We start from the raw sequence: 26,211 nt of genomic DNA, 5'->3' as shown, positions 1-26,211 counted from the left end.
CTGGTGTTTATAGCAAGGCAAGAATGGCCTAATACACCCTAAATTGTCAGCCAGCTTTTATATTTCTCATTTTCCATAAATCCACAGATTCTGGATTGATGTTTTATAAGCAACCTTAAACCAGGAACATCCTGCTAAGAGTATTTCATAGATAAGGTATCTTTTTCTTCTAATACTATTAGTTCATTTACGAGGAGGTTTAGTCATTATCTTTTCACAAGGAAATTACACCAAATTCCCTGCTCCACATCATTCCAGCAACACCCCCATTTCTGTTTCCTCAGAAAGTAAGTGAATGGATTATAGGCCAGCTACTTTAACTCTTTTTCTCTCCAGTATTAAAAGAGATCATTTAACTGAAGGCACTTTTTTGTTGTTTTTGATCTTTTTGTTGTTTTGTTGTTGTTTTGTTGTTGATCTTTGTTTTAATTTAAGATTTTCTTTTTTTACAAAGGGGAAACAGTTTATTTTCCTCTTATTTTTATAAAAACATTACCTACTCATTGTAAAATATCCAAGCCATACAAAAAGGTATAAAGAAGAAAAAAATCTTCTGAAATTTCACTATGCAGTGTTAAACCCTAGGTATGTAGGTTTTCCTCTCTCCATCCTATCCTCCCTCCCTTCCTATTATCTATATATCTATTTATCTATCTATCATATTTATCTAAAAATGTCAATAGATACACATGCATGGGGAAAAAAACATAATATTAGAGAATGACATAAAACAAAAAGCAAAGTTCCCTTCTCTGTTCTTTTGCATTCCTAAACAAGTTTTCCAGAGGTTAAATGTTTGTTTTCTCATTCAATTATTTACATAGATAACTCCAAATAACATGATTTTACTGATATTTTCTTGGTTTATCAACTTGAATATCATTGGTTGACTCTCAGCTATAGAGAGTAAAGATTTAGTTCACTCATTTACTTCCTATATCTTTTTCCTTCCTATAGTTTTAATAATTATATTACTATTTTGATTTCTATTTGTTACTTTCTAGCTTTAAATATTTTATATATATTTTCAGATTTTTTTCTTTTTTTCATTATTACAGTTTAAGTTCTGAGATACACATGCAGAACATGCAGGTTTGCTACATAGGTATATACGTGCCATGGTGCTTTGCTGCACCCATCAACCCGTCATCTGCATTAGGTATTTCTTTGAATAGTATCATATACTATACAAACCCTGGTATAGTTATAAAATAAAATATTGTTAATTAAGCCAATCCATGGGAATGGTAAAGATCGAATTGACTTCCAAAGTATGGATCAGATAAGACAAAATAATATGTAATTCTGCTTCTGTTTTCTGTAAGTCAGTAGTGGCATTGGTTCAGTTTTTCTCTTAAGCCTCCTCAGGAAAGAAGTACTCTGGGAGAATCCCTCTACATAAAACAGGAGAGATTAAGAGCTTTCTGAGTTTGCTGATGATTATTGTGATTGGGTAATTAGCACCAGAGAGGAAAGAATTACAGTATAAATAATGCTAACAATGAAAAGTAGCTAGACACCACTTGAATGAAGAACAGGACTTACAAGGCTTAGATGGGCAGCTACATGAGTCTAAGAGGAAAAAGATCTTAGAATCATAGTGGAGATCAGTTTAACAAAATAAAATCAGAAAAAAATATAAAAAGCATTAAAAATTCCATGAGACTTTGCATAAGTCTACTGTAAGGTTTTAAGAAGGAGTTTACCAACCCCATGGGAAACAAGAAAATAAAAAAGGAAGCAGTTTGATGCATTTTTGGGAAAGGCAAATATGAAATGAAAACTGATACAAAGAATGAAAGCGTTTGTAAAACTATACCCATGAGAAACTAGGAATACTAAAAACAAATAAAGAAGAGAAGACTTAATGACTTCTAAGATAATAATATATGTTATGATTATTAGAATTTACACAACTCCAGAGAGAACAGAGCCTAAGAAGTATCTTGAGAGGTTTAAAGAATAATGGGTGATAAAATCATTCTTAAGGGGAGATGTAGTTAAATACTAGAATGATAATATCATAGACTCTGCTTCAATGACACCATTATAAAGTCGATTAAAATTCATGTGCCATAATAGGAAGATCCTAAAATGAGACAGAAATAAACTATAAGTTCTCTCCTATTCTTATAACTTCATAATAATATCCCATGGAATTACTAGTAAACTTCAATTTTAATGCTCATTAAATATAGGATACATTTTAATGTGTAATAACAGGCTTATGTATTTGGCCATTTATAATATTTGCTTTGTCAAAACTAACTAAAATGGCAACAGATTTACTCTCTTAAACTCACTGTTTCAATGTTATAAAAAGTCTTTTTTATTAATTGAATTCCATCCTTTAAATGCTGTAAATGTCCAGCTAAAAATGCCTCTGTAAAGGTTAAGTATGCTGGCCAGGTGCCATGGCTCACGCCTGTAATCCCAGCACTTTGGGAGGCCCAGGCAGGCAGATCACTTGAGGTTAGGAGTTTGAGAACAGCCTGGCTAACATGGTGAAAACCTGTCTCTACAAAAAAATACAAAAATTAGCTGGGTGTGGTGGTGGGCACCTGTAACCCCAGCTACTGGGGAGGCTGAGGCAGGAGAATTGCTTGAGCCTGGGAGGCAGAGGTTGCAGTGAGCTCAGATAGCGCAACTGTGCTCCAGCCTGGGTGACAGAGAGAGACTCCATGTCAAAAAAAAAAAGAGAGAGAGAAAAGAAAAAAGTTATGCTTAATGTTACAGATAAACTTTAATGTGAATAAAATATAAAAATTTACTTAAATGGTTACATCATTATTTCAAAAAATGTATTATGTCAATGATGTTGGAAGCACTTAACAATTCAAAATAATTGTTCTGTATTTAATGGTTATAAATGTTTTATGCTGTATAATTAAGTTTAATTTAGTATGTAAATGTTATTACTGAAATATTCTTTGGTACTCGAAATGAATTTAAGTAGGTGTTCATATTCTGTGGAATATTCTAATATTAGATATTTTTTGAATTAAAGAGTTTATTTCCAAAGGATGGCTCCCCATAAGTGAGTTTGCATCTGTTCAGTTTGACACTAAATGGAAAGGTTTAATTCAGAGCAGGATCATTCCTTGTGTTTAGATAATTAGGTGAGAACAAGATAAAATTTTGTAAGGTGTAGCTTTCACAAAATAAGATCTATTAATAAAGAAAGTAGGCGATTGTTCTATGCAGATAATAGACACAATGTGTTTTTATGTATCCTCTTTTTTAGTATTAAAATCCCATTCAACATGTGATTATAGAGCTATGAGACTATAAAAATAAGTACTGAAATACCATTCAGAAAATTCACCTTGATAAGCCTATTCTAACCATGCTTCCATGACATGAAATATTTTGGCAACTCCAATTTAGGAACTGTTTTCAGAGACCGGATATGACTCATAAAAGAAAAACAGCCTCATTGCTTTATATTCACACTTTGCAAAGAAAAAGGGATAACATTTTTCTGTACAGAGTAGATATTATGGGGCAAGCTGAGAAATCATTCCACAAACTAAATTCAAAACAAGCACTAAAAATTAGTCATCTTCCAAGGTAACACCAGTTAGAAATGAGCCTCAGAGTGAGGAATGATGTAATGAAATGGATAGCTGGTCAAGATGATTTTAAAAATCTCCTCCAACCTTAAGATTGTTATTTTTCCTGATCCAGGATTCTGTCAAACTCCACCATACATATCAGTTATTCCTCCTCTGTAGATGCTTATGTACAAGTCACTATCATCCTTCTGCCACATACACATGGTCCAGAGTAAAATCACTGCTTTAAAGTAAAACAACATTAACTTTCTGGTATGTGTGTATGCAGGTGTGCACACAAGTGGTTGGACTAACATTATTCTCTGACTGACCTCACGTGGAGTCAGCACAGATCAAGATGGAGAAATGAGTCTAAAGAAAACTTGCACAAAGAAACCACTGGGATATTTAGGGGAGGATTGCAAGCATATGTCCTATGTACTAAATGCACAACATTCTATACTCCATTTAGCAGAAAATACACTCTTCTTTAGTGTGATATACACTCTTGGGGCTTTTTCCGTTTTAGTTCACAACCTACATTATCCTCCACACAGATTATTTTATATCAACATTCTTCAAATATCAATGATTTCTATGCCTTTTTATTTAAAAACACCACATATAGCAAGATATTAAAAACTAATATTTTATGTTCTATTAAGAGAGCTAAAATCTATTGTAACATTTTCCTGGCAAATGCAACTGCCATTACTGTTTTTCTAAAGTGATACATCAGATTGTTTAACATATCATTAGTCCCAATATAAAAGAGGGAGAAATTTTTGTAGTTAGGCAATTTTTGTACCTTGTTTCTTGTGTCTAAAAATTCCATTTGCAAGTGTACAAAATTCTACTGAACAAGTATAATCAGTACAGATAATATCATCACTATAAACCAAGCCAAGTATACAAAGTACAAAACAACATGAGGTAAGATTGCCAGGTTTTTAATTTGTCTTTTCCAAGTAACAACATTGCTAATGCTTACCATACATTATCAAAGGTTGGTACTGCTAGGTCCCGCTGCGTTAAACATTTATAAATTTATTATTTGGTTCTTCAAACATTCGTTTGTATTTTTTTACCTGAAATTATTATGCATTTAGCTTTTATTCATTTCAAAAAATTCTACTGCATTAGGTCTTCAAAGGGATTTCCAAAGTGTTCAATTACTTCTAACTGTGGCTTTTTTCTGGCTTTTTTTTTTTTTTTTTTGGAATAAAGCCAGGTTCCCAGTCTTTGCACTTTTACTCTTACTCTCTTAATCCACTTGTTCCAGGGCTTGTGAAAAGGGGTTTTCTTTCATGACTTCCCCAACAGTGAGGGTTCCTTTCTAGCTTTAAAAAATTCAAGCTTAAAAAAATTTCAACTGGCATCTTTATAATGCTGTAGCTTTTGCTCAGTGAGGAATCAAACCCTTTGAACAATGAATGCTTGTCTAAAGCAACTATTCATAGAAGTACTGCCTTCTGGGGAATGGGAAAAGTTTTTACCTACTGACAAACGGGAGTAGCATAACAGAATAGAACTGCACCCAACGCAAAGTGCCTTGTGTTTTCAGCTCTGAAATAAGGAGATCAGTTACCGCCCGTCTGCTATTGACCCGTTATAAAAAGTAGAGTGCTGAAGAATATCAAACAAGATCAAGCAGCAGTCCAGATGAGATCATGTGTCTTCTTTTTAAATGTTTTGAATTTACAGATTTTAAAAATGTTTGGAGAGGCTGAAGGCTTGTCTACATGTGTGAATTACAACTTGATGACGGAGTTTTAGTGAGAGTCTAAGAGACAAAAAGGACAAATCTTGAGAAAATTGTCTAGTATATATAAATAGTTTTAGCACTTACTTCAAAAGTTAGTCTTATGTTATATCATTTAGGTATCAAAACTTCCTAAGTCCTCTGAAAAGAAGCCAAACCTCCTGATGTCTCTTATTGAGCTTTCTCCAACAGCAGGCTCCTATGCATATAAGATTGCTCTTCGTTCTGTGCTCACACTAATTTTCTGTAGCAAAAATTGTGGCACAGAATTTCCTTAATTCAGCATTTGGAAGCAATAGGTTTTAATCCAGCTTTAGGGAGTGGAGAGAGAGCAATTTAGAACTTTAAAAAAAATAAGTTTATAAAATCAACATGTATAAATGATGGCCATTACTACTGCTGATAATGTTGAGTTTCTTAGGAGTGGCAATAAAAGTGCCTTAGCAATTCAGTTTCTATATTTCTTTCTGTTTCTTTATTATTCAGTGCCTATGTCTGAAGCATGTAGCTTACTGGAGCTTTCTCTCCTCCCTCTGCATTCCAGAATTGTCTGGTTTTCCACACTTTAGCACTTCCTAATGTTAGATATAAAATAAAGAAGTAGACACTCAAACTGCAATATTTTACCACTCTTCTAGGTATTGAAGCATGAGAAAAATAAAAGGTTGATAGTAAAACATGAAATGTAGCTGTTTTCATCTATCCAACCTCTCTTTTATTATTATTATCCACAATTAAGAATTACATACAGATGTCCCTTAATTTCTGATGGGATTATGTCCCAATAAACCCTTTATAAATTGAAAATGTCATGATTTAAAAATGCATTTAAACAACTAACCTACCAAACATTCTAGCTTGCTTTGCCAGAACACTTTTATTAGCCTAGAGTAGGCAAAATCATCTAACACAATGCCTATTTTATAATAAAGTATTGGATATCTCATGTAAGTTATTGAACACTAACAGTGAAAACTAAAATTGTTGTGTGGGTACTTGCAGTACGGTTTCTACTGAATGCATGTGCCTTTATGCCATCTTAAATTTAAAAATCCCAAGTCAGACCATCGTTAAGTCAGAGAGTGTATATTGTAAATATGTAAGACATAATTATCGTATTCAGTGGTTCATTAGATGACTAATTTTAAAAGCTTAGGTTTTTTTTTTTATTTTTTCCTTTAAAGATGGAGTCTCGCTTTGTCATCCGGGCTGGATGTGGTGCGATCATAGCTCTGCCTACTCGAACTCCTGGGCTCAAGCGATCCTCCTGCTTCATCCTCGCAAGTACCTGGGACTACAGGCACATGCCACCACACCCAGCTGAGAGCTTATTTTGTTGGATACTAGGTATATTTGCTTATATTGAGATTGTGTTTTCTTCTTCACTACTAATACCCTGACTGAATTAGTGATAGTCATGGAAAAAGGTCTTGTAACTTCCTGCATGTTTTATTGATCATGAGCAGTCTAGTATAAGTTACATAAACAATTAATAAAAGAAAACTAAAAGCAGATATGCCTGTTTGTAGTACTGATTCTCCACCTGCCATTTTAATGCCCTTGGCAAAAGAAAAATGTTTCTAGATCTCATATGTATGACTTTGCCATAGAGACTAACCAGATTCTATTTGTCTTTTTCTACCCCACTCAATGGGAAATAAGGATATGTGGGTATTTGAAAAGTTGAAAGCAGATATTGATCATTATTTTAGTCTTAGACAAGATAGAGTCCAAGGCAGAAAGCATTAAATTAGATACAAATTGTCATTTTATGCAGAAAAAGAGAATATATAACGAAGGTATAACAAGCATGAAACTTCAAGTAGCAGCAGAAACTCAACATATCTAAAATATAAATTCTTTTTTAAAAGTAGAACTTAAGCTAGATAGAAATAGAAGAAGACTTCAAATGCAAGACTAAAATGCAAGACTTTGATATACTACTTCAAATATTATTTTGATATTTTGATAAATTGTTTCAACATAGAAGACAAATAATAAATTATATTAGAAATAGAATAACTGTACACTAAACTTTATGTAATAGAGTGGTAAATTTCTTTTCAAATGTCTAGAGTCCGGCCAGGGTCAGTGGCTCACACCTTTAATCCCAGCACTGTGGGAGGCCAAGGCAGGCAGATCACTTGAGGCCTGGAGTTTGAGACTATCCTGGCCAACATGGCAGAACCCTATCTCTAGGAAAAAAAAAAAAAAAGAAAAAGAAATAGAAAACAAAAACAAAAACGAAAACAAAAAACAATTATCTATAGTCTGTGTAACTGAAAACAGACCACACCATAAAGAAACAACCGGTACAACAAACCCCCATGATGCATGTTTACCTAGGTAACAAGCCTGCACATTTACCCTTGAACAATAAAGTTAAAAAAAAAGGAAAAAAAGAGAAGATTTTTTTAAAATCTAAATAAATTACCAAAGCAGATATTGCATATACTAAATATAATCTTTGACAAAGATACACTAAAATTTGAAATTAACTTAATGGTTTTCAAACAGGAAAAACGTAAAGAAAAAAAACAAACCCCAAACAGCCATTAACTCGAGATTTAAATTATTATCCTAGTTATTGGGTCAAATAAAAATTAAAAGTATAGTCACATGTATTCATAAATTACTGAGCAGAAGGATGCTGCACATCAAAATTATATCACATCACTAAAGCTATATGCAAAGGCAAATGTGTAACATTAAATGTTTTCATTATTAAATAAGAATGAAAAATCAATGCACTAAGCAGACCACTCATAATTTATAAATCAATTAATCAGAAGGAAAAATACAGTATTAAATAAGAGCAGAATTTAATGAATTTGGAAATATTAAACAATATCTTCGTATTTTTCCTGTTTGTTGGTATAACCAATAAAACAATGTATTTCATTACTAAATCAAGGGGCATAATTATTGATATAATGAAAATTAATTTAAAGAATCCTTGGAAATCTAATGAAGAAAAGGAAATCACAAACACAAAATCAGAAAGGATAAAAATGAAAATGACCACTAATATTTCTTTAGTATGTAATATGTGTCAGGCACTCTTATAAGAACATTACCTATATTATTACATTTAATGCTCACTTTTAAACCTTGTGATATATGCACTATTTTTTTCTCGCTCTTTCAGACATATGAAGTACTGAAATACAAAGGGATTAGGACTGCAAACAAGTTTATAAGGTAATATGTGGTTAGGGCTCTTCCATGTGCTGATATCAATATTTCTGCCTAAACTTCCAACTTCAAGTATGCTGGATTGTTTCACATTTGAATCTATCTGCTACATTGCATTATGATATTCATTGTATTCATGTTTTATATCCTTTGTTTTTAATTTTAATGGTCATGTGTGTTTCCCTTTTATTTAGACTGTAAATCCTTTAAGTGCAGAAGGATTTTTCTTTTCTTTTATCTTTGTAGTCAAAAGGTTTAGCAGAGTGTTTGGATCATAATAGTTACTCAAAAATTGCTGACTTAAATACATGAATGAGTGAATAAATGAATTCTATAGAGCATATTTCACATTACACACTAGCATGTGGACTTGGTCTTGGGGTAAAAGTGCCCAATACTACAGTAAACAGCTGTCATACTGTATGGTCCATAAGGACCAACCTATATCTATCTCTTTCATTTTTGTTATAACCCCAGCACTGGGCACAATACCCAGCTCAGAGTAAAGACTTAGTAAAGAAGAGTTGATTGAAGGAGTGAATGGATCTGTCCCCTCATCTTGACTTAAAAGGACAAAATCCCTGGGCCAAAAACACCTTAAGAAATATGGTCATTTGATGAAACTGACCTTGAAACAGTGGAAGATTTAGTTTTCTTGTCATCTCACTCACCACAACAACACTCTATTGCAACACCTTATGACATCCTGTGCTTTATTTAGCAAGATTAAACAGATCCAAAAATTAGAAGTATGTGTGATTTACCTGATTTATTTATTTTATATCTCATATAGTATTATGTTCACAAATATAATTTCACAATTTCCCTAAACCAAAAATTTAATACTATAAATAAATATTATATACAATTTATCTGACTAGTTTAGCCAAGCAAATACCGAATAGCTTTCCATAAGAACCTTGCAAAATTGCTAAAAAACATATAACACATGATATTTTGGCCAGTGCTGCAATGATTATTTATTTAAATATGTTTGTTAATAAATTTATTTATTTATTTAGAGATGGAGTCTCGCTCTGTTGCCCAGGCTGGAGTGGAGTGGTGCGATCTCGGCTCACTGCAAACTACGCCTCCCGGGTTCACACCATTCTCCTGCCTCAGCCTCCCAAGTAGCTGGGACTATAGGTGCTTGCCACCATGCCCGGCTAACTTTTTTGTATTTTTAGTAGAGACGGGTTTTCACCGTGCTAGCCAGGAGGGTCTCCATCTCCTGACCTCATAATCCACCTGCCTCGGCCTCCCAAAGTGCTGGGATTACAGGCATGAGCCACTGCACCAGGCCTATAAATTTATTTTCTTAAGTTTGAATGGTTCAGGCTCAGGTTCAGTTGTTGGAGTTTTTTTTCATTGAAAATAGAAAGACTTCCTTCTTCCATTTAATGTAGTCATAGTTCTAATAGTATTTTGGATACAATAGATTTAAAGTTTCTAAATTACAAAAGTAAGTGAAATGACCAAATGAACTAAAAAATGCCTTGCTTTAATGCTTCTTAGACATGTAAAATCCTAAAAATCTAAAATAACCCTGAAGAATAAGTATAAAATTATTTAATTTTATTGTGATGAAAATACGAATTATTTTGACATCTTTCTCAGTAGACCAGGATAAAGGTTTGCTAATTAGTCTGATTCAGTACTTGCATTAAAAATAATTTTAAAATTACTTTCCTTTTGGTATATTTTCAGTGATGATTGGGCTTTGTGGTGTGCATGGCTGGATGGTGATTGAATGAAGACAAAAAAAAACAGTAAGGTGAAGACACAATATTATTTTCAAGACTTTATTTTTATATTTTAAATGTTTTGACCTTATTAAATATTTACTTGCTTTCTAAGCTTTCCCTTCTATTCTTCTCTCCACACCACCTTCATGAAGAAAAGTTGACAAATTTTTTTTTCAGATTTTTTTTCTTAATGTTTCAAAAAGTATCTTGATTAGTAAAATAGCCAAAAAACTAGAAACTTTTAATTATAGTGTAGTCATTTCCCCAACATCTTTCTGGCACTTGACATCTGAGTATCTGTAGTGAAGCCAAGTTAGTTCCATTGGAAAATTCTCTGATGTTCTCCTTCCTAATCCTATTTTCTTTGAGCCACAACCTGGCCAGGTTAGGGAGCACATGAGATTTGGCTTTCCAACTTTCTATTTCTTTCTGCCTTGACTTAATCAATTGGGAGTTGAGGAAAATAAACTGTGCTTAATGAATAACAGAAATTGCTAAATACTTGGAACCTTGTGATGCATTTTCCAAGAAGCTATGGGGTGAAAGAATTAGGGAATAAAATGCAGGGAACTCAGCAGAGAATAAATATCATGGAAAGAAAGAGTGACAATATTGGCCAGACATTTCAGTTCTTTTTAGTAACACTTTCTGATATGGTTTGACTGTGTCACCACTCAAATGTCACCTGGAATTATAATTTCCATAATCCCTACCTGTTGTGGAAGGGACTCAGTGAGAAGTAATTGAGTCTTGGGGGCAGTTACCCACATGCTGCTCTTGTCATGATAGTGAGTGAGTTCTCATGAGATCTGATGGTTTTATAAGGGGTTTTCCCCCTTTTGCTCAGCACTTCTCCTTCCTTCCATCATGTGAAGAAGGATGTGCTTGCTTCCCCTTCCACCATGATTGTAAGTTTCCTGAGGCCTCCCCAGCCATGCAGAACTGTGAATCAATTAAACCTCTTTTCTATATAAATGACCCAGGCTTGGGTATTTCTTCATAGCAGCTTAAGAAGGAACTAATATACTTCCCAATCCAACCACAATTCTCAAAGATTGTGGAAAACCAGCAGTCCTTTTTCAGAGACATCAAGTGGGTCTGGATGCTTGCTCTTTACCACCAGAATTCTAATCCAAGGAATTAGATTCCTTGTATTTAATCATGTATTTAATATGTAATATTTTATTATATTTACTCATGTATTTAATATATAATATTGGTTTGCAAATCATGTATTTAATCACATATTTAATATATAATATTGATTTGCAAATTTCCAGTTTACCAATTTTACTATTATTTTATAGTTTTATTTATTACTAATTTTTTTTAGAGATGGGATCTTGCTCTGTTGCCAAGGCTGGAGTGCAGTGGCAGAATCTCAGCTTACTGCAATCTTGACTTCCTGGGCTCAAACAATCCTCCCACCTCTGTCTCTTGAGTAGCTGGGAGCACAGGCACACACCACCATGCCCAGCAAATTTTCTTCATTTTTTTTTAGAGTTGGGGTCTCACTATGTTGTCCAAGCTGGTTTTGAACTCTTGGCTTCAAGCAATCCTCTCACCTCAGCCTCTAAATGCTGAGATTATGGATGTAAACCACCATGCCTGGCCTATTTTATTGTTTTCAAAAAGAATTTCAAGTCAGTCATGTAACAGTATCTATATTATCAAGAATCAAGTTTTTAAAAATCCTTTATTACTATTTCATAGGGTAAAAATGAAAAAGAGACATGATAATCTAGTGCCCTATAAAAGCATGCCCCACAAAGGCCAGGTATGTAAATTAGGTATAATATATAGTATATAATGTAACCTAAAATAATGTTTAGCCATTTTTTTTCAGAGCTGAGAATTGGCAATATTTACTACTCATTTTTTTCACATTCCACGTGGAATTTAATCTCTTCACATTGGAGAATCCAAAAATTTATCTGAAGAAATTGCCCCAATACACACACACACACACACAGAGAGAGAGAGAGACATGATCCACGCCACAAATGCCTGGACAATATATGCACACATCACTCAGTTGATCTGAAATAGCAATGAGGTCTTACATTATTAAGTGTTTTTATTACCATATAATGTGTTACGTTAAGTAATTAGAAGTAGTTGTCAAAATAAATTAAGTAAACTGCATTGTAATGTAAAAAGAAAAAGAAAAAGAGACTTGACAGCTACATATCCCTGCATCATCCATAAATGAATTAAAAGACTCTGAGGTAATCTTTCTAAGCAGTTTCTTACTGAGATTAACATTAAAAAATAATCTGTATAATTAAAATGCAATCATAGGATATCTCTGAGATCAATGCTACTTAAAGTGTGGTATGTAAACTATTTATTTCCAAGTCCCATTGAGATTAGTTCAGAAAGAGAGGATAGGCATTTAAATACTTTTAAAGCAATTTGACAAGAGCAAGATATCCAACTGTGTGGTTTTGTATTTCACAAAAATATCAGTTGGTAATGAATTGAGAGGAAAACAACTCTTCTGTTAGAATCGCTTGAAAAGCACTGGGTTAGATAATGAAGAGAGCAGTTGCTCATGACTGAAAAACTAAACTACAAACTAAACAGGCATTGCATTTTTAATTAAATGGAATGATGGTAAACAGAACCCTATTTCTGTTCAAAATTTTTAAAATGGTGATTTTAACATCTTAAACTATTGAATTTTAACTCAAATTAGGTTGGGGTAAACACAGAGACAGACTGATGGGTGTGTGACCTGTGCATTCACACAGGTCCCTGCTCTCAGAAGGGTCCTACACTTCATTAAATACTCTGCTGCTGCCATCTTGAAATTCTTAATAACTATATCTTTTAAAGTGTGTTTTGAAATCTAGTGTGGTGATGGAGCATGCATATGAGCAGAGGAGAGATGTGAAATGAACATAGGCACCCATTCCTTGCAACCCTGTTTGCACATGGCCTTCGAGATGCCTTGTGAGCAGAGAATTCTGGTAGACCCACTTCTACAAAGTGGGTTATTTTATTTTTCAGTTTTCTAATTTTTAAGATGAGGATTATATCTGCCCTGTAGAATGATTATGAGGAATAAATGACAGATAGCATATTTTACGCTGCCTGACACATAGTAACTATTTAGTCCACGTTAGCTAATCCCATATATCACGAACTTCACCCTTTCATTATCATCTTGTTATAATTATTCCAAATTTCTTGTTCTCTCTTTTCTGTGAATGAAAATAACAGAGATGCTCAAAACACAAAAGAAATAATTAAGATAAGCAAAACAGAGTCTAAAGAGGAGGAAAAGTCAAAACTATTGTCCAATTTGTATTTCTCACTCCAGACGCTGTAAATTTTGGGGCCAACATGGGAGTCTGGTAGATCTCTCATTTATTCTCATGCTAATACAAATGGATGAGTATTAAAACCAACCACCTCTTTTCAAACCTCTCTCTGATAGTTTACCTTGGCCCTCGCCTTTGAAACAGGATGGCCTCATAGGAGATGTGGAAGATGTAAGAAAGAGTTGTTTACCCACTCAAGAAGGACAGGACTAAGATATACTTCCTTTATTAGAAAGAGATGTGTAAATTGTGTATAAATGTTTTTAGTCTTCTATTTAAACACTGAATTTTATCAGTGAGCAGCATGTGTTTTGGCATTTTGATGATTGACATGCCAGGAGACTGAATGTTGCTAGCTTGCATAATTCTTAGAAAGAGACTCCAGAAAAGCAGCCTGAGAACTAAGGATTCCAGAGGACAGCACCCAGAAGGCTACAACCTTGGAAGGAAGAGATGATTTGATGACTCTATGTCCGCCTCTTCTTCCTATCCATTACTTTCTGACTTAGACCAATCAAACCCTTACTTCAAGAGGATCCATTCCATAATTTTCCCTTGTCTTTTCATATTTATAAGTAGTATTTATTTAATATGTGTCAGGCACTATTCAAATAATTTTACATGTAGGAACTCACAACAAAACTATGAAGAAAACATTTTTATTATTATAACTATCCCAGAAGAAAGGAGAGTGAAGCACAGTGAGAGTAAATAATTTCCTGAAGGTTACCCAAGTAGAAGGTAGTAGAATCAGGATTCAAATGCAGACAAGCTGACTATAGCATTCCTGCTCTTCCACACCTGGTTTTACTGCAGATGCACCACTCAGGAAAATCAGACTTTGAATCAGTTCCAATTGTACTTGGTCAGTTCCCCCCCTCTCATTTCCCACAACTGGCACTTAGGACGTGTCCAGGAACATTTGATGAATCAGTGAGCACATGCTAATCAAAGCATCCACTGCCGATCTCTTTTCTTCGCTTCCGTTCCATGAGAATACACTCATCTCCTCCCAGATGTAGCATTAAGTATCATAGGAACTTAAATCAATATGACAATATGAATTCACTCTCCATTATTCTCTCCTTCTAGCCCCAACTTCATGAATGGGAGTACCATTTATCCTTTTGTCCAATTTGGAAACCTTGCTTCTCTTTGTCAATCCTTCCTTACATCTTACACAGGAAAGTTCTCTTCTCAAGCTCAAGCTACAAACACTTCCCATTGAGTAACAGTGGTAGGCATGTAATGATTTCCAATGTTACTGCTCATTTTCATCAAATTTATCTCCCTAGCACTTATCATTCCACTTACCCACTCTGACAGGCAGAATGAACCTCCCCATCCCCCAGAAGATGTCTGGGTGGGAATCCCTGAAAGCTGTGAATATGTTACCTTATATGGCTAAAGAGACTTTGCAGATATGATTAAGTTAAAAACCTTAAGATCAAGTGATATCCTGGATTTTCTGGAGGGCCCAATATAATCACATGGGTCTCTAAAAATAGAGACCCTTTACTTGCTGTGGTCAGAGGAACGTATCTATAGAAGAAGGGTCAGGGCAATGAAACTTGCTGACTTTGAAAAATGGAGGAAGAACCATGAGCCAAAGAATGCAGGCAGCGTCTAGAAGATAGAAAAGTCAAGGAAACAAATTTTCCTCAAAAGCTTCTAGAAAGAGATATAACTCTGCTAACATCTTGATTTATCCCAGTAAGACCTGAGTTGGACTTCTGACTTAGATAACTGTAAGATAATAAGCTTACCTTGCTTTAAGCTACCAAGTTTCTGGCAATTTGTTATAGCAGGAATAGAAAACTAATACATCCTCTACAAATCATCTACTGATGCCCTAGAGATTTCAGGAAATCTTTCTTAATTCTTGTTGCCTGTCTTAAGTCATCTTATATTTTCTCACATATTACCTATGTTTGTTTTTGTTTTTCTATCGTAACCCTTGTTTTATTCTTATAGTGGTGTCAGGGGCTAGAGTAGGGAAGGCAGGGAGGATGGAGGAGAGTGAGGCTCCTGCCATCTGTAATTGAGAAATGCATTTCCTTTCTGAAACTAAAATCACAAAGTACATATACAATGAATGTAATTAACTATCTCAGGAACAAAACCAAAATTTTGGTTTTTAAGTGTATGAAGTAAGATTTGTGAAATATCCACAGTTCTTATTGAAGTAATTTGTTAGCAATCTCAAGAAGAAAGAAATAAGATTGCAACTCAGAAAACAGAAATTGTAACAATTGTACTTTATTTCAGGAAAAAGAAAACTATTTTGTAACTAAATGTATACCTAGAAGCAGAGGCAAATGTCCTGTGAAGCCAATGAAGCTTAAATATAGCTATTTTCGTGGCTTCTGAGAGAGGCCTGAGAGGGTCACACATACTTATAAAATTTGCATAACTGAGGCATTTCTACTATAATTGGATAACACTACTGGTTCTTACCATTTCTCCATAACATTTTCATTTCCATTCGGTGACACTGTGAGGACATGTTGTATTTGTAATTTCCTATTCTTCAATGGGGCTCCAAACCATATGAGCTTCAGGTCATATAAAACTTGGGTTCTGCTCTGTTTAATGAAAAGTGAAGACCAAATAGAGCTTGGATTTGCCATTTAAGCATGGTAGAAAGGAGAAAGTGTACAGTTTCAGAGATAAAGTTTTCTAGTCACTAGGGTGTATTGCATTATTAAGGAGATGTTCTTTTGGTTGCCACTAAACTCAAAATACATGATTAATTTCTGTCACTCTGATAATTTTTTCAAATGTAGCATTCCTTTAGAGGAAAGCACAATAATCTGCTGACAACACTTCCCAGATTGAATAAAAATGGTCTTTTCCACTGTAAAATAATATTTTGGAATTTTGGAACAGATGTACATATATGATAGATAAAACATATATCTTCATTAATCACTTGCCATGTTGCCAGAATTTGTGGGGAGCAGCAGTGAAGAAGATGGGCTCTCTTCTCTTACAAAGCTTGTATGTTCACATGTGGGAAGGGGCATGAAATACACAAGTTAACAAATAAGTGAAGAAAATCATTGTCCATAGAGTTAGGGTGTAGGTCTTCAGGATGGGTGGTAAGTCCAAGCTTCTTTGAAGCAATGGCATTTGAGTAGAAACTTAGAAAGGAAGGAGCCTTTCCTGCAGAGATATCTGAATGGACAGTTTAAGGCAGAGGGAGCAACAAGTTCCAAAAACCTTAGAGTCATGTTAAATGGAGTTGTAGGTTAATATTTTTCAAATTGGTCTGTGATCAATTTGTTGGCCTTGAAATCAATTCAGTGACATGCAACAATTTTCTTAAATGAAATAGAACAGAAAAGAATAAGAAAAATCAAAGTGCATTGCATACGTTCAGAAAATAATTTTCATAAAATGATTGCTTCAGGGGTGTGTGTGTGTGTGTGTGTGTGCATATCTGTGTACTGGGTCATGGTATATAAACATTATTTCCCCTTTTGGGTCCTAGTTAAAAAAAAAAAACAACTTTGAAAGACACTGCTGTAGAGCTTATCAAGGGATCTGAATACTATTCCACATGAAATAAGACACTGAAGGAATCTTTTAAGCCACATATATACATACAAAGAAAGAATGTGAGCTGCTCAAAAGCTGAATCTACTGATTTACTCTCATTTCTTTAGCAAGTTCAGATTGATGTATTTGGAAAGCTGAAAATTATACCCTACCTCATGGTGCATTTTATACCTGGGTGGCCTCTTTGAGGTTCAACTAGCTGTCCTCCTCCTCGAGGCACCCATACTGCATTAAGCTGCCTTAGGCAAACTGCAAAAAAGTACCCGCCAGGAATGGGCAAACTACGAAAGGAGATGCCTCCTCTGAAGTCTTGCAGCATGGTGATAACTTCCCCAGGGTGACCAGGCCACAAAGCTTGGCTTGCATCTCAAGCTGAGTTTCAGCCCCAGCTTTTCCCATCCAAGCACCCTTTTCTCTACAGGAACTACACAGTCACATGCAGGGGCTACTCCCCCACTTCCTCTGCTTTGTGCCTCACCAGTCAAATTTCAATAGTATTTGCTATCTTGGATGACAACTGCTTACTTGTCAGTCTTGGGATACTTAGGTAATTTAAACACTTAAAGTGTCTGGTTTAAAATTCATTTTTAATAAAGAGAGTCATTGAAAATTATCTAGGAATCAACAAAATGGTTATATTAGATGATAATGTCAGAAACTAGATGTATGTGGCACATGGAACAACATAAAACAAAATCTAGCTGGGATAGCATATGACAGTCTGGCCAAATTTTGTCTGGCACTTTCAGAGTTTCTCTTATTCCCTTATACTTCAACTTGCTTATTTCAGCTCTTGCTTTTCTCTAATACCCACTTTTCTTTCTTCTGGTCTGATTGTTGCTGGTTCTTTAGCTCCTGCTCTGACATTTCCACCAGTCATTTTAATCCAGCATTATTTGCCTTTGCTTTTCAATTCTCACCTCTTGGTTTGCCCCCTCAGTATAATGGCAGATCAATCAATTTGGCCCATCTTGTCCTGCTGAAGGATTCATCTGTGGCATGTTTAACTCCCTAAATCCTGACATTCTCCTGTTCAGTGAGCCTGGTCAATCTCCACCCCTTTCACTGTCACCCAAATTAGATTGACTCCCCATATTTTATCGAACTTTAGCAAATGAAATCAGTCACCTGGCATATCAAGCATTTTTAAATATTTATATGATGGGTAGAACATATAAGGCTGTATGTATCAGCAGTAATTAATGTTAAAATAAACAGTGTAAATTCACTTACACTAAGCCTGTCATCATTACTTAATTAAAATGATTAATTTATACAGTACTCTCATACCTAGCATAATAAAAGATTACTTAAAATTCATATGACTCATTGAATATGATAATTAGGGAATTAAAAAGAGTATTTATAAAAAATAATTTTTATTATGAAGACAGCACAGATTGTGACTCTAAATAATGTAATTTCAGCTGTGTTTAAATCAGGGGGAAAAAAAAGCACAGAATAAACTGTGGATCAAGATTCCAGTTTCTAGTCTAAGAGTTTCAATTATTACTGGTTTGCTGGTTTGGAGATTCTGTGTCAATACAGATATCAAATAATATAAGAAGAAAATAAGTTACATATTTGATTCAGCAGCACTGCTAGAAAATACAATTTGTTTATTTGTATGTTTTGTGTTTACTTTAGTTTATCAGGCATGGCAGAGCTTTTCAAAGGATATGGATTTTTGGAATATTTCCCCTCAAATCTGAGCAATTGTAAATGCAAATGGGTTTGCTATTTAGTTCTGTCTCTTTGTGCCAACAAAAGTTAAATGATTAAATTCTGAAATTTCAATGAAGAATCACAGTCAGGTTTAAGGACAATTATTTAGGTCATGCTATCTTTGCTCAAGGAATCACTCTTTCAATTTAGAGGCAAATTATAGGTAATGGAAAAATCACCCAGAATAAAGGCTTTCATTTGTACACATATGTATTAATTTTTTTGAATGTGGGACATGTACAAAAATTTTGTCAGTTATAATGCCTATGGTATTTTTGTTCTTTCATCTCACTCGCAACCACTTACCCAAATACACATGTAAATACAGTTACTGTTACATATATTTTAAATCAAGCATTACTTTTGAAAGTGTGACCCTGAGCCAAAGTGATGCTAAGGCCAACAAAATCAAATAAAGTCAAAGGCCACAAGATGGTTCAAGGTGGCTGAAACCTGAACTTGTAAAGACTAGCAACTGTTGATCAGATTTGATCTGATCAGATAGCAATGTGTTGGTTTTTAAAAGATTATTATTTTACTGATATTGATTTTCCTATGACTTATATGAATATAAGAGAGTCAAGTGTCAGAGGAGGCACCTTGGAGATGGTCTGACTTACGTCCTTCGAGATTACAAAAAGCCCCTGTGGGAGCATTCTTTCCAACTATTAAAAAATAATATGCTATTCAAAGAAGATTAATCATTCACAACAATTGTGCTCTTGAATAACTAATAATTATAATTTTGTTAATTTTCTTCAATGAGAAGTTAAATGTGTAAGACACTTAATAATGTACTTCTAGTATAAATCAACAGTTCTCAGATTTGGGGATTTTATAGACAGAAAATGTTCAAATAAAATAATATTGGCATTTTCCCAGTAAGAGCAGTAAAACAAACACAACCAACCAACCAAACAAATAAGTATGACTGCCATCTATTGTAACTATAACTTAACAAAAACAATGTCATTTGACATCAAATAATGTATAACAGTTATACCCTTAGAATAAACAACAATCGTCTGGGCGCGGTGGCTCACGCCTGTAATCCCAGCACTTTGGGACCCGAGGCGAGAGGATCACGAGGTCAGGAGATCAAGACCATCCTGGCTAACACGGTGAAACCCCGTCTCTACTAAAAATACAAAAAATTAGCCGGGCGTGGTGGTGGGCGCCTGTAGTCCCAGCTACTCGGGAGGCTGAGGCAGGAGAATGGCATGAACCCGGGAGGCGGAGCTTGCAGTGAGCCGAGATCGCGCCACCGCACTCCAGCCTGGGCGACAGAGTGAGACCAAAAAAAAGAATAAACGACAATCTTGTGAATTGATCAAATCTAAATTTATGTAATACTCACCACAGGTAAAATGTATTTTATTTTGCCACACTCATAAAAATTTAGTCAAGAAACCCATTGGTCCAGAGACTGATGGCAGATAACCACCATTATAGAAGCTTTTAAATGCTAAGTACATAGTTTATCGGCACAAAGGAAGCTTAATAAATTAAGTCTTAATAATTACCTGCTCTAAACTCTAATTTTCTTATGTGTGAAATGAACAGAATAATGGGAAGTATCTCACAGAGGTGTTGTGAGAATTCAATGGGTTAATACATCTATAAAACTCAATGGACTAATACACTTAAACCCAACGGGCTAATACAAGACCAAAAAAGGAGGGTTTGGGGCTTCATTGTATCTAAGATTTGATTCATCTCTAGAATATCCATCTTTCAAGTCTACATTAAATAACTAAAAAAAACAGCTGTAAAATATTGATCTCTAGTTTATAATATGCATGCTGGAGTATACAGGGGAAGTGTACTGCAATTTACTATGCATAATAAACGAATTTACAGGAATAATTAGATGTATATTCCAGCACAGAACAAATGTAATATAATGGTAGTTACAGAATTTAGGTAGTGGGCACATTTTAAATTCTTTTAAATTCTCCATGTGTTTTAAATTTTTAATAATAAAATTGAAAAACTGGAAAACTATCTGCTACTTGTTCACCAAGAAAAAACAATAGTTAAAATACGAAGCAACAAGATGCAGACATTGTTTCTAACACTTATCTGGGAATTCCCTTAGTTATATTTAAGGTTAGGGTTTCTGATACTTGCCTCCATGTCCATAGTTGCTGGTTGTGATGATGCCCCTATAGACATAACCATGCCTGCCCAGAGGCTGTGGGAGGCTCTGGTGACTGCAGGCACAGCTTGGCATCCAGTTCTCACTGACCTGACCAGGATGAACCTAGGGATGTCGGGATGGTGGGGGAGTGAACTGAGCAGAGAGTCTGGAAATAACTGAAAGTTATAGGATGGTTTCTATTCCAGAGGCAAGTACTTGAAAATAACATTGGTACAATTTGATGATAAAGTTCAGGAGAAAAGCATCATTAGTTGCAAAAACATGAGAGAGAACAAAAATGTGCTGACTACATAACTTACTACAAATAATAATTGTAATTCTCTTATTTCTGTATTAGAACAATAACAGAAAAAACACTACCCTTCAATAATATTTTTCCATAAAAGGTTTAGGCCGTAACAAGAGGAGACTCATCGGGATTAACAGGAGGCAGAAATGGTGACTGTAGATATATCAACAGATTGTTTAATGTCCTAAATAGAAATTCAACAAGGGAAAATAAAAACACTTAGATCAAAGAATTTTGGAGCTGGAAATGCCCTTAGACATATGCTTTTATGAAGGAAAAACTAGTGTCCAGAACAGCTAAATGTATCACCTCACAAGTCCATTTCAGGGCCAGTTAAAGGGCAGTCAGCTGGTTTTGTAAAATTTCTCCATACCACACTGCCAGTAGCTCTAAAAGACTGTCATTATTTTCCTGCATAGAAATGGGATGTTGGAAGGAAATCCATAGATAAAATCATTTACCTTAATATGAGTAGATGTCTGTTTACATTCAGGGAACAGTAAAAGATTACATTTAATTTTGAATTATTTACACAAAGCTTATGAAATTTACATGTAAGTTATAAATCATGTATTCTACCAAGCACAGTAGGGAAGAACTTGAGTAATAGAAAATCCATCACTCTGAATTTCTTAGCTTCAGAACACTTAAATAAGAATTCAATATATAAAATATTTTATTGTGTATCAGGCATTCTGCTGGCTGCTTTGTGGACACATAAACCCTGTCCTCAAGAAGTTGGCAGTCTACTAGATGGGGAAGACACTGATGTGTAAATACATGTACAAAGTCGTGTTTTGCAAGATGGGTCACAGGAGAGAAAAACTGGGGAAAGGCATAAACCGGGAGGGACACTGGCCCAGCCTAGAGAAAAGCAGAACAAATAAGAGATGGGGCAGCTGATGATGAGGAAAGGGGGCGGGCAGTCACAGGTAAAGACACATGTAGGCTCAAATCTGAGAATTCTAGTGCATCAATTCCTCTTCCTTTCCCACCCTCTCATTAAACCCTTTAAACAATAGTAGAAACAAATAAAAGTGATAAAAAGGCCAAGTACAAAGAAACTGCTATAACATCAACTTCAACAAACTTGGCCATCTTCCAGTGTCTTGGTGAATGTTACCACTAAGCCAAATCCAGGGATTCATCCTAGATTTCTCCTTGGCCTTCAATGCCCACATTCCATCATTCAAGCTCTAATAATGCTACCTCCAAAACAGGTACCTTTTTACATAGATTCCCCTCTATCCACACTGCACTGTTCTTGCTCTCCCCATCTCTTTTCTTTGAACTGTGGTATCTGGGTTTAGTCACTCCAACCCTCTACTTGATTGCCAGGATACTACAGAGTAGGATCACCGACAAAATAAAATGCCGGCTCAATTGCCTGTCGTGAAAGGTGTTTTTTGATCTGATCCTTCTGAATGTCACATGACCTTCTACTTCTTCATTCCCTTTTCTACTTCCAGCTTTATTCTCCAAGAATATCGAGGATTGCTAGTTCTAGGAATGCACCATGGTTTTGCACTCTTATGCCTTTTCACTTGTGGAATACTAGCTAATAAGCAGTGCTCTTTTTAGACCACATGACTGCACTAGTGAGTTGATGGATAAATAAATGAATTTATTGTAGGCCTGAGTTGAAATTTTCAGTGCCTCAAATAGAATGTGTTTTGTTCTTCTAAATGGTTCTCAACTAGATGGACCATTTAAACAACTAAGCACTGGCACTTGGTTAGGCAGTGGGATAACAAAGACAATCACTTATAATCACTGCAAACAATATAGCATTCAATATTCAGAACAAGTCAGAAATTTAAAAATTTTATATAATGTCATAGGTCACATACATGGTATGATAAATTAGTTATCGCTACTTAACATGTAATGAGAGCCTAATAAATACTTGAAACAAGAAGGAAAGAAAGTAAAAAAGCAAGCAAGAAAGAGAAGGAAAGAGACAGAAAAAAAAATAGTTTGAATTTAAAGTCCAAGAGACATGGGCTTCTAACATATTTTAAGCCAAGAAAGTCTTGTAGAAACACTTTATAAGAAAACCCCACATGGAAAGGAAGTATTTATTCATTTCATTACGTCTACACAACTTATTGCTCATTGCTAAATGCTTGGACTCTTGTAGATGAAGGAGACATAGTAAAGAAAAAGATAGATAAGGTCTCTGTCCTCTGCTATCTTACTGCTAGCAGAGAAGATAGATAATAAGCAACATGAGAGATTTTCAGATGTTATAAATAATAGGAAAGTACGGGTTTGGCTACTTATGATACGGTGACTGAGGAAGCCCCTGTGAGGAGGAGGTAATGCTTGAGTTGAGACCTGGATAAATGAAGAGCAATCCAGGCACAAAAAAATCACATGCACAGGCCTGAAGTGGGAAAAAACTTGCCAAGTTCAAGAGACAGAATGAAGAAAAATGAGATAGCGGGTGCACAGTGTAAAACGAAGACAAAATAATAGGCTCAGTAGAAACTTACAGGCATTTTTATAAATTGGTGAGGAGCTAATGGAGAGTAGGTAGTATAGGTAGTAAGCACGAACGTGATTGTTGTTTATCACCATAAACATACTCTGAGGACTGTGAAGTTCCTCTCTTGTCTCATGCCTGCATTCCACATAGTTGGCACTAATTGCACTCCATTGCTTGGTTTTCACTAATGGCATATACGTGTGTGTGTGGGTGTGTGTGTATACATATATATAACTGAATGATGTTCAGTTCAATTGAATAAACATCTGCTGAGCGTAAATTATGTGCCCATCACTAAGCTTAGTGATAGAAGTACCAAAAGGAAAGTCATGCATCTACTCTTAGAGATTATTCAATGCAGAAAGAAGGGCAGGTTCACTAACATAATTTCAGAATAATACATTAAGTGCTAAGGTAGAAATATTGAAGCATTGAGGGGAGGCTTGATTATTCCAGGCTGGTTGTTTGGGGAAGTTTTCCTGGAAGAGGTGACACCTGAGTTTTTGGTTAATTAACCAGGCCAAAGAGGATATTCTGTGCAGAATGAAAGCATAAGCTAAAGAAGAGCCACATTTTCATGTAGATGGTGCAAAGAAGGTCATTCAGGTCAGTATCACCAAAGCTTAAAGTAGAAACTGGGGACCAGTGAAAAATGAGATTTGTGACATAAACAAGAACTAGATTAAGAAAGTGTTCAAAGCCATTTAAAGCTATTCAAACACTATCCTGATATCAATTAAAAGTCATTGATGGATGTTGAAGAATAGATTGGACCTAGTCAGATTTGCATTTTAAATATATCTCTGGCAGCTGGTGGGAAACATATTGGACATATTTTTCCCCAGCTACCATTCTGGAAGAGAACTGCTTTTCTAGAAATGCCAAATTTCTTCTGAATTCTTAACATTTTTTAAAAGCATAATAGAAAAAATTTAAAGGAAGTTACCCTATATTTTCCTCATAGTCTCCCACATTCTTTTTCAAATTCACTTTATAGTTTTAACGCATAACGGCAAAGAAGAAGAATTAAAAATGGGTTTTGGCTTGTTTTGGTTAGCCAGATGTTCTGCTAATAGAAGCCTGAGATGGCCTCAGTTTTCTAATATTACTCATGTTTCAGATTCCAAGATTGCAGTGAATTCGTCTGACCCAGATACGACAGAAGATCCTCTCTGGTGAATATGTGCAACCGTTCTGAACCTCTCTTTTGAAAACTTTACTCTTCTTCTGATTTGATTCCATAATTGGAAATTAAATGGAAACTCATGCCTTCCTAAAAGTGTTGTAATTACATATTTTGTATTTCTTTTACCTGAAGTTGTCTGTTGTCATCTTATACATCTTACTTAGGAGCCATTGACCTTGTGGCAACGCTCCGAAGCATCACTCTCTGTTCAAGGCACCACACACCTGCAGTGAAGATGCAGGGATTAGGTGTATGTTTCAGGTGTCTATAGTAGGCTCAAGTTAGCTCACTTGTCTGGAAACTTCTAATACCTTCAGAATCATAGCCCAGCTTAAAGTCTTAGCCAGTATTTCTGTGCACATTTCACTGGTATTACAAATCAATCACTGTCACATTCACCTCACTCATCACTGCAGTAATTATTTTAAGAACTTGTGCTTGTGCCATTTTGTATTCACAATTAGGTATAATTGGCTAATGAAAATATGATATTGTTTATAAGTACATTTCTCTGCAGAGAAGATAAAAAGGGTCTTTTTTTCTTTTTTAACATTCAAAAAAATTTTTTTTTCACACTAATGACTAATGACTAAGCATTTGCAGAGTTTTATCCAGAAAAAGATTAGTCTCAAGGGTTAATCTTTAAATTCCATTTTTGCTGCCCCTTTTTCCAGTATTTGCTGTTCCCCAACTTCATCCATATCAAAGTCATTAAATATCAATACCATCAGTTTCTTCTTTAATCCAGGCCAAATATTCTTATGCTTTCTCTTCAAAGGATCATATGCATGAATGTGTTCACTTGCTTATTTGTTCTTTCATTATTAAATTTATTTACTGAATTATTACACTTATTTCTCTCAAATCAAAGTTTGAAAGACAGTCTAGTACAATCAAAGCCCCTGGATTAGGCACCAGAAACCTGGATGCAATTCCTAGGTTTGTAACAAACTCTGTGAACCTCGCAGATAATTTAGCTTCCTTAGACCTTAGTTTACTCATCTAAAAATGGGACTGATTCAATCACTACCCACTTATTTTAATTAGGTCTTCATAAGCCTCTTACAAAGGCTAATAACTGTTAACTCTCCAGAAAATAAAAAAATGCCCATACCCACATACATATAAAATTTTGCATTTATTTCTTGGGACTCATAGAATCCTAAAACCTGTGGATAAATGTCCCAGAGATTCGCAGGCTCTTGGTTAAGAGCCATGA

The 26,211-nt window shown here is 34.9% G+C and overlaps 1 protein-coding gene and 1 long non-coding RNA gene across 6 annotated transcripts in view; one reads left to right on the top strand and one right to left on the bottom strand.

Moving 5' to 3' along the window:
* Nucleotides 1-26,211, bottom strand: part of FUT9 (fucosyltransferase 9) — a 199,639-nt gene that overhangs the window by 152,372 nt on the left and 21,056 nt on the right. The gene's annotated exons all lie outside the window — the stretch shown is intronic.
* LOC105377905 (uncharacterized) lies at nucleotides 371-25,085 on the top strand. Of its 2 annotated transcripts, XR_007059689.1 has the most exons (4): nucleotides 371-6,663; nucleotides 8,465-8,517; nucleotides 10,219-10,285; nucleotides 24,927-25,085. It is a non-coding gene; the product is annotated as an uncharacterized LOC105377905 (long non-coding RNA). The 2 variants fall into 2 exon arrangements; XR_007059688.1 differs by having other exon boundaries at nucleotides 371-10,285.

The sequence above is a fragment of the Homo sapiens genome, chromosome 6 (genome assembly GCF_000001405.40).
Source record: "Homo sapiens chromosome 6, GRCh38.p14 Primary Assembly".
Lineage (NCBI taxonomy): Eukaryota > Metazoa > Chordata > Mammalia > Primates > Hominidae > Homo > Homo sapiens.
This window is presented reverse-complemented; position numbering and strand designations above follow the sequence as displayed.